The sequence below is a fragment of the Homo sapiens genome, chromosome 4 (genome assembly GCF_000001405.40).
Source record: "Homo sapiens chromosome 4, GRCh38.p14 Primary Assembly".
Taxonomy (NCBI): Eukaryota; Metazoa; Chordata; class Mammalia; order Primates; family Hominidae; genus Homo; species Homo sapiens.
The window spans coordinates 195479-205028 of record NC_000004.12 but is presented as its reverse complement, the minus strand read 5'-3'; the positions used below and the strand labels follow the sequence as shown (position 1 = coordinate 205028).

The 9550-nt window shown below is 43.8% G+C and overlaps 1 protein-coding gene and 1 pseudogene across 2 annotated transcripts in view; one reads left to right on the top strand and one right to left on the bottom strand.

Moving 5' to 3' along the window:
* On the top strand, positions 1-3806 carry LOC100288172 (WEE1 homolog (S. pombe) pseudogene; annotated as a pseudogene).
* ZNF718 (zinc finger protein 718) overlaps positions 2723-9550 on the bottom strand; it is a 77831-nt gene continuing 71003 nt past the window's right edge. Inside the window, exons 2-3 of one of the 2 annotated variants that reach the window (NR_110528.1) lie at positions 3818-3948; positions 2723-3397 (exon numbers count right to left, since the gene is read on the bottom strand). The gene's annotated coding sequence lies outside the window, so the exon portion shown is untranslated. The remainder of the gene's footprint in view (positions 3398-3817; positions 3949-9550) is intronic. The other variant, NR_110527.2, reaches the window with a different exon arrangement.

Below are 9550 nucleotides of genomic sequence, written 5' to 3'. Positions count from 1 at the left end.
TGTGGAGAGGCTGGATAAGTGCATTAAGTGATCAGAAAAGTCACTGGCTGGCTCTGTTCATGAGCAGAATGCTTTCAGAAAAGTTTATGCTCACACAGTGCTTGGACAGCATTTGCGTAGTTTGGCACTTACTTGTCTGCTTGGGCAGATGCTCATATGCTTACACAGAATGGATATTGTGATGGTGGAAAGTCAGTTGATGCTACAAATACAAATTACAGAATCATGAGTTACTTTTAACAAGCAGAGGTGAAGGATCTCCTTCTGCAAGTTGGCTGGTGCTTGAGGTATATTCATTCAATGTCTTTGATTCACATGGACATGAAACCGGTAATATTTCCATGTCTCAAACCTCAATCCCCAATGCAGCCTCTGAAGAAGGGGATGAAGATGAATGGGGGTATTGGTCCATTTTCAGGCTCCTGATAAAGACATACCTGAGACTGGGTGATGTATAAAGAAAAAGAGGTTTAATGGACTCACAGTTCCACATGGCTGGGGAGGCCTCACAAACATGGCAGAAGACAAAAGGCACATCTTACATGGCAGCAGACAAGAGAGAATGAGGGAACCCAGTGAAAAGGGTTTCCCCTTATAAAACCATCAGATCTCTCAGGAGGACTTATTCACTAACAGAAAAGTATTGGGGAAACTGCCGCCATGATTCAATTAACTACCCCCAGGTCCCTCTCACAACACATGAGAATCATGTGAACTACAGTTCAATATGAGATTTGGGTGGGGAAACAGCCAAATCATATCATTCCAACTCTGGCCCCTCCCAAATCTTATGTCCTCACATTTCAAAACCCCACATGCCTTCCCAACAGTCCCTTAAAGTCTTAACTTATTTCAGCATTAACTCAAAAGACCACAGTCCAGGCTGGGTGTGGTGGCTCATGCCTGTAATCCCAGCACCTTGGGAGGTGAAGGCAGGCAGATCACTTGAGGTTGGGAGTTTGAGACCAGCGTGACCAACATGGAAAAACCCCATCTCTACTAAAAATACAAAATTAGCCAGGCACGGTGGCACATGCCTGTAATCCCAGCTACTCAGGAGGCTGAGGTAGAAGACTCGTTTGAACCCAGGAGGCAGAGGTTGTGGTGAGCCGAGATCATGCCATTGCACTCCAGCCTGGGCAACAAGAGTGAAACTCAGTCTCAAAAAAAACAAAAAACAAAAACAAAAACAAAAGCAAAAAACACACAGTCTAAAGTCTCATCTGAGACAAGGCAAGTCCCTTCTGCCTAAGAGCCTGTGAAATCAAAAGCAAGTTAGTTACTTCCTAGACACAGTGGGGGTACAGGCATTGGGTAAATACAGCTGGTCCAAATGGGAGAAACTGGCCCCAAAATAGGGGCTACAAGCCCCATGCAAGTCCAAAATCCAGTGGGTCAAATCTTAAAGCTCCAAAATAGTCTTCTTTGACTCCATGTCTTACATCCAGGTCATGCTGATGCAAGAGGTGGGTTCCTATGGTCTCGGGCAGCTCCACCCCTGTGGCTTTGCAGGGTACAGCCTCCCTCCTGGCTACGTTCTCATGCTGGCATTGAGTGTCTGCGGCTTTTCCAGGTGCATGGTGCAAGCTGTTGGTGGATCTACCATTCTGGGGTCTGGAGGACGATAGCCCTCTTCTCACAGCTCCACTAGGTGGTGCCCCAGTAGGGATTCTGTGTATGGGCTCTGACCCTACATTTCCCTTCCACACTGCCCTAGCAGAGTTTCTCCATGAGGGCCCCGCCCCTGCAGCAAACTTCTCCCTGGACATCTAGGCGTTTCCATACATCATCTGAAATCTAGATGGAGGTTCCTAAACCTCAATTCTTGACTTCTGTGCAGCTGCAGGCTCAACACCATGTGGAAGCTGCCAAGGCTTGGAGCTTGCACCCTCTGAAGCCACAACCCAAGTTGTACCTTGGCCCCTTTTAGCCACAGCCATAGTGGCTGGGACACAAGGCACCAAGTCCTTAGGATGCACAAAGCAGGAGGGCTCTGGGCCTGGCCCACTAAACCATTTTGTCCTCCTAGGCCTTCTGGCCTGTGATGGGAGGGGCTGCCATGAAGACCTCTGACATGTTCTGGAGACATTTTCCCCATTGTCTTGGTGATTAACATTTGGCTACTCTACTTATATAAATTTTTGCAGCTGGTTTGAATTTCTCCTCAGAAAATGGGTTTTTCTTTTCTATCACATTGTCAGGCTGCAAATTTTTTGAACTTTTATGTTCTCTTGTCTTTTTTTTTTAACTAAATGCTTTTAACAGCACCCAAGTCACATTTTGAATGCTTGGTGCTTAAAAATTTCTTCCACAAGATACCCTAAATCATCTCCCTCAAGTTCAAAGTTTCACAAATCTCTAGGACAGGGCCCAAAACTCACCAGTCTCTTTGCTAAAACATAACAAGAGTCACCTTTACTCCAGTTCTCAACAAGTTCCTCATCTCTGTCCGAGACCACCTCAGTCTGGATTTCATTGTTCATATCATCATCAGCATTTTGCTCAAGGCCATTCAACTAGTCTCTAGGAAGTTCCAAACTTTCCCACATTTTCCTGTCTTCTTCCAAGCCCTCCAAACTGTTCCAACCTCTGCCTGTTACCCAGTTCCAAAGTTGCTTCCACATTTTTGGGTATCTTTACAGGAGCACTTGACTCTACCTGTACCAATTTAGTGTATTAGTCCATTTTTACACTGCTAGTAAAGAGATACCCAAGACAGGGTAATGCATAAAGAAAAAGATGTTTAATGGACTCACATTCCACATTGCTGGGGAGGCCTCTCAATCATGTCAGAAGGCAAAAGGCACATCTTACTTGGCAGCAGATATGAGAGAATGAGAGAAGCAAGTGAAACAGGTTTCCCTGTATAAAACCATCAGAACTATTGAGACTTATTCACTGCCAGGAGAACAATATTGGGGAAACTGCCCCCATGATTCAATTATCTCCCACCAGGTCCCTCTCACAACGTATGGGAATTATAGGAGCTATAATTCAAGATGAGGTTTGGGTGGAGACACAGCCAAAGCATGTCACTAGGCATCCAACAAAGTTATACTTAAAATAGGTAATCCTGGGCATGTAACAAGGATCTCTAGTCCACAGATTTAACAGGATGATAGTCCTTTTTTTGGAAATGAAGTTTTACAGAAGAACTATATCATCTACTAAAAGCAGGTATTTTGTACTTGCCCTCACAGTGGTATGTGCTGCTGGTGCTGAATCTCTTCCCAGGAATGGAGACCAGTGGCATGGAATCAGGTAGAAAAGATTACCTCAGATACCACATAGGCTTTTCCAAGAATTTACAGAGTTGCCCAAATTTATGATTCATCCAGATCCAGAGAGAAACCTTCAGCAATTGCCCTGATAAAGCATTCAATGTTGCTGCTTGCTTCTAGAGAGAGGAGAACAGTTATGTATAGAACTGAATGTTGAGAAGTCCGAAAATACACTTTTACCTAAATAAATCATGAAAGCACAGATATCGAAGGCTGCAGCTGAGGAAGGAGCACTTTTCACTGATCAGAGGCCAGTAGGTCCACCACCCAGAGGAACACAACATCTTGACTTATTAGAAAGAAAATTAAGTGCTCTATCAGCCTTCCAGTATACTAAGCTACTCATTTCCTACCTAACCACCCCACCAAAATAACACTGTGATAAAAGCAAGCTAGGTTGAAATCACTGCTAGAATTCAATTTGCAATTACTCTCTCTATTGGTGTCAGTAGTTTTACTGATTAGGACTTTTATTTGTGAATTACAATTGAAAGCTGTATTTTGACCATAGCTTTTTCAGGCTTTTGTGTACTCACCAATCTGTCATCTGTAAAATGTCAGTCACTAGTGGAGCTTACAGTGGCCTTTCCAAAATTAACTGCTGTGGTGGTGTGTTGCTCTCAGTGTGCTGTTGCACTTTAATGAAGATATCTTTTCCTGTAGTGACCTGGGGAAAGGATTCAAGTGCTTGATGACAAACATATTCTCCTCTCGACAAGGCAAATATTAAAACCACTCATTACTACTCAGCCTTTAATGTATCTGCGTGTCAAATTTATATTTCTTCTTTTTTAACGTTAATTATACTTGTATATCCAATTAAGAGCACTTTTTAGGCATTGCATGAGACATGGGATGATAGTTCTGTGGAAGTATTGCCTTGTGAATTTGCTATTTAGTTTTGTCTTTGCTGTAAACTTGCAGCATTAAATAATCACTGTTGTTAATAGCCTTTCCTTTTGAAAAAATTATGTGAAATGTACAGCTGCTCTTGATGAAAACAACTATTTGCCTTTTATCCTTTGAACTTTAAACCTGGTGCATTAAAAAAAAATGCACCTTCCCCTCACCTTTGGAATTTTGTATTAATGCCAAATAATATTTACTGAGTTTGGTAATTTTTTCTGGTATTGTACTAGTCTGACTCTAAAAAAAACAAAAACAAAACAAAACAAAAAACCAGCCAGGCACGGTGACTCATGCCTGTAATGCCAGCACTTTGGGAGGCTGAGGTGGGTGGATCATGAGGTCATGAGTTCAAGACCAGCCTGGCCAACATGGTGAAACCCTGTCTCTACTAAAAATACAAAAATTAGCTGGACATGGTGGCACATGCCTGTAATCCCAGCTACTTGGGAGGCTGAGGCACAAAAATTGCCTGAATCAGGACTTAGGAGGCAGAGGTTGCAGTGAGCCAAGATCACACCACTGTACTCCAGCCTGGGCTACAGTGCGTGACTCTGTCTCAAAAACAAACAAATAAACAAACAAACAAACAAAAAAAAAAACCTCCTCCTTCCTCCCCAGTTTTGTATCCGATTGTACTGTTAGTCTGATGTTCAATATTTTGCCAGGTTTGTCTGCAGTGTTTGTGTATATAAACTGATCTTGGTAATCCTCTACACAGCTGTTTGAAATGCCAGAATTATTTCTGACATTCTAAGTTTTTCACAAAATACATTGTATCTGTGATTAGCCATTTGACTAGTCATACTGGCAAACAGATTTTGCAAAAAGAAATACAATTTTTCCATTGTTTTCTCACTAATTTTGATCTAAAATATCTTTGCTCTTGTCTTTGACTTGTGTTTTATTAATATTGACTGGCATGTTAAAGATCACTCTGAGCTTAATTGTCTAGAAAAAGAAAAAACAAAACAGGTCTGTAGGTAGGACTACCAGGCAGAAGGCTTGGTGTGAGCACAGGTGTGGCGTTAGGGGAACAAGCACCATCATGGGGTGGGCAAAAGGCAGGAGGTGATGACCAAGAAGAGAAAAATCCCCAAACCCAGCAAGTCACTGAGCCAAATGAAAGCCTTTTATCCTGCATCAGCCATTTAACCCCATCAACACTCCAAGTGAACATTCTGTTTTAGAGATACTGATAGTTCTTATTTTCCTGTAATCCTGTAAAGGAATCTTATCTCTCTCATCAGCCTGTCCCCAGGACTAAAATCCTAAATTAGAATACCATTCTTAGGAAGGCATCTCTCTGGGTTAGGATGCAAGGAAATTGAGTTAGTTGCTATCAGTCATTCACACGCTGCACAGATATTAATTTACCAGAGTCATGGTGTCCCCAGGACTAAAATCCTAAATTAGAATACCATTCTTAGGAAGGCATCTCTCTGGGTTAGGATGCAAGGAAATTGAGTTAGTTGCTATCAGTCATTCACATGCTGCACAGATATTAATTTACCAGAGTCATGGTGGGGAATGGGAGAAGCTCATTAAAAGCAGGCCTGGATGGTGCACAGAATGTGAAGGGTACAGGGGAACAAAGAAAGGCTAGGCTCAAAGACAGCTCCAAACCTAGGAGGCACAGTTATTATGCCCCTTTTACAGAGGAGGAAAATGAAGCACAGTAGGTAACTTGATCAACCATTCTGCCCCAGAGTAGAGGAGCCAGGATCTAAACCCAGCCAGCTTGCCTTGCCATCAGAGCTCACACACATAATTTTGTTCTGCAGTTAAGCAGGACTGCACTGTGGCTAAGTACACAGACTCTGGGTGCATATCCCAGCTGCTCTGCTATTTCCAGGTTTGTGACCATGGGCAAGTTACTTGCCTGTGCTCAATGTCCTCTGTAAAGTGAAGATAGCAGTACCTGCCTCATGGAGTCCCTTAAGTGAGTTAATAATGTAACATGTTATGGTGACATGCACACAGTCACCATCAGTTAATATAGACTATTATGCCTGAACCCCAGATGGGCACATGTCCTTGAAAAGTCTAAAATTCAGGACTCTGAAATCCAGCCTGTGAGATCCCGGAATCCTCCAGCAGCATTCTAACATCTTTTCCCTGCAGACTTGTATGCTGCTTCCCAGGGCTGAAAGGTGTATATGTATTAATATAGTGTAATAATATGGCCACCTGTCCACCTAGTTCATCCCTATAGTAGGCAAATAAGGTGATGTCAAATCCTTGGCTGGGGCCCAGTCCTGGTAACTTTCCCTTCCCTCTTTCCTGAATACTCTCTCATTCAGATTCATAGGTGCCCTGCAGGACTGCTTAGCCTGCAGGGAAGGCAGGATGGTGAGGAATGAAGTTGAGTGGGTGGGTGCAATTTTTCACTGAAGTGCGCTCCCTCTTGCCACCTGAACTTGTGGGCCCAGGCACTGGGTCTGGACCTGAGGGGGTCTTGTTCTCCTTTTAACTTTAAGCCTCAATTGGCAGCAATCACAGGGCTTCATGCCTCCCTGTGAGCCTGTCTGGGTGTTTATGCTGGATGACGTGGACCCCCTCTGCCAGGAGTGCATAGTCTATGACCTGGCCAGGCAGCCATGGCAGATGAGAAGAGCTTCAACATCAACTTTATTGTGCTGCTGGGTTTTTTCTGCTGGCTCTTAGCACGTTTCTCATGAGCCATGATCAGCCTCAGGTCTATGGCATCTTCTGCAGCTATGTCATGGTGCCTGGGGACATCATCTGAAGCAAGTGCCACTGCTACCCCAAGGCAGGTGTTGGTGAGGCTGTGTGGGGATAGGAGGGTTGGAGACCATGCCTCTATCTCATAAATCAACTCTTTATCCTTCAGTCATCTCCTCATTCTCATTTTGACTCCATTTACTTCTTTCTGCTCTCCTGAGCATTCATCCATCCATCCATGTTTCCATCCATACTTTCATCCACCCATTCATTCATCTAGTCATCCATCACTTAGCAGGAGGGTTGATCAGAAGCCCCCAGGATCTGGAGCCATGAATGAAACACCATGGAAGAGACACAATGAAACACAACATATTACTCATGTGCTTAAACTAAAAGTCAGTGAGTGCTTTCCACCTGCCAGGTACTCCTGCATTTAGAGTGCAGTTCTGCCCTTATGCTGAGATTTTTGGTGCCTTCCATAGTTCCATTTTATAGCAGAAAAAGGTGAGGCTGAGAAAGTGAGGCTCTGTAGCTGAGTAGCAGCACTTGGATTGGAGCTCAGATGTGCAAATGTAGGCATCATTCTCTTCCTTGAGTTTTCCACCCCAGGGCCCCAGAGTGGCTTAGCTTTCTGGAGTGGGTCAGGTCTAATCTTGGTGGAATGCATTGAGCAATTCTCTATCTTTTGCAGTCTTAATGTATTCTTAGCCCTACATGTGATTTAGTGACAGGAAAAGCACTGGTTTGAGAGTCCTGTGTTCCAGTTCCAGTTCTGACCCAAGCTTTGTGTGTTATCTTTGTCTTTCTTAGCCCCATCTTTTTTTATATGAAAAATGGGGCTCAAGCCTCTATTTTGCACCACCTCACAGTGTATAAAGATCAAAGAAGCAATGGAATATAGGAATGTTTTGTAAACTCTAGAGTGTTTTATGTGGGTGAAAGGCTCCCAGGTCCTGATACCTCTGAGTAAAGGACATGTCAACTCCCAAATCAAGTCTCTCACTCTTTCATTTTTATTTTTAACTTTAAACACAAAAATGTTTCTTTTTTCTTGAAGTACATGCTTAAAAAGCTCCTACTGTTATGGGCAGGTCTTTGTTCTTAGAGCTCCCAAGATGTGGCGGGCCACTCCCAAGATGGGGATGGGCTGCCCCCATCTTGGGAGCTCTAAGAACAAAGACCCGCCCATAACATTTAGTGGCCTCATATGGGGATTCTCCAAAGCAGTGAGTAATATCAGACCACTTTCACTTGCTATTCTGTCCTATCCTTCCTTAGAATTGGAGGAAAATACTGGGCACCTGTCAGCCAGTTAAAAATGATTAGCGTGGCTGCCAGACTAAAGACTCAGGTGTCAGCCTTCCTGGGAAGGGCTTTCTAACAACCCCCAACCCTTCTGGGTTGGGAGTGTTGGTCTGCCTGGAACCAGCTTCCACTTTCACAATTTTCCTGGGGAAGCTGAGGGCTGACTAGTGGCAGAAAGCTGTCATCCCAAACTCTCAGCATTAGCTGGTTGAGATCACGGTGCAGCCAGAAGTCTCTTCTCAACAGTTGCCTATGCATGCACCCCTACCTTTCCTTCTGACCCATACCTCCTGGGTCCTGACCACGACTTTCTTGAAAGTGTAGCCTCAAAATTCTCCTTACCTCTGTATCTATTTCCTCTGATCCCTGCCTCCTAGGCACTAATGGTTCAGCCTTTCATTTCCTCTAGCAAGTTGTATCTCCAAAGGTATCTAAGGAAGCTCTACACTGCGTCTTTATGCCCCTAGGCTATGAACCCAGAGAGTCTTGTCTCTGGTGTCCCTCCCAATTTAGGCATACAGCTCTTGACATGGGCAGTTATGTGGGACCTGTTCCCCACCACCCTTGCCAGGGCCCCAAGTTTGTAAATGGCTAGGAAGATTGCCCTCCCATTGTGTAAGATGCTCTCCTTCCCCAATTTCTACCCAGCTGACCCCTCTGCAATACAATCTCCAAGCCTTGGCTCCTTGGCCAGGGCCTTAGAAGTGATAACCCAGTACTTTAACAACTGGAACTGGGTCTAAGGCAAATAATAGATCAGGTTGAAGGCGAATTGAGTAAGTTAGAGAGAGAGAGGAAAAAGAGAGGGAGAGAGAGGGAGAGAGAGAGGGGAGAGAGAGAGAGGAAAGAGAAGCAGAGAGAGAAAGGAAAGAGGCAGAGAGACAAAGAGGGAGTCAAAGAGAGAAAAAAAGAGAAAGACAGAAGTAGTAAAGAAAAAAGTGTGCCCTATTCCTTTAAAAGCCAGGGTAAATTTAAAACCTATAATTGATAATTGAAGGTCTTCTCCGTGACCCTATAACCCTCCAATACTACCTTGTTGTCAGCGTAAACAAGGGTGTAGCCTGAAAACACTGAGACCACTGACAGCCCGTAGACTTCCTATAAAAAATTCTTAACCCAGTAACCCGTGGATGGGCCAAATGCATTCAATCTGTAGCGGCAACTGCTTTGCTAACAGAAGATAGTAAAAAAATAACTTTTAGAGGAAACCTCATTGTGAGCACACCTCACCAGTTCAGAGCTATCCTAAGTCAAAAAAAAAAAGCAAAAACGTAGCTCACTAACTCAAAAATCTTAAAGTATAGGGCTATTCTATTAGAAAAAGGTGATTTAACATTAATCACTGAAAATTCCCTTAACCCAGCAGATTT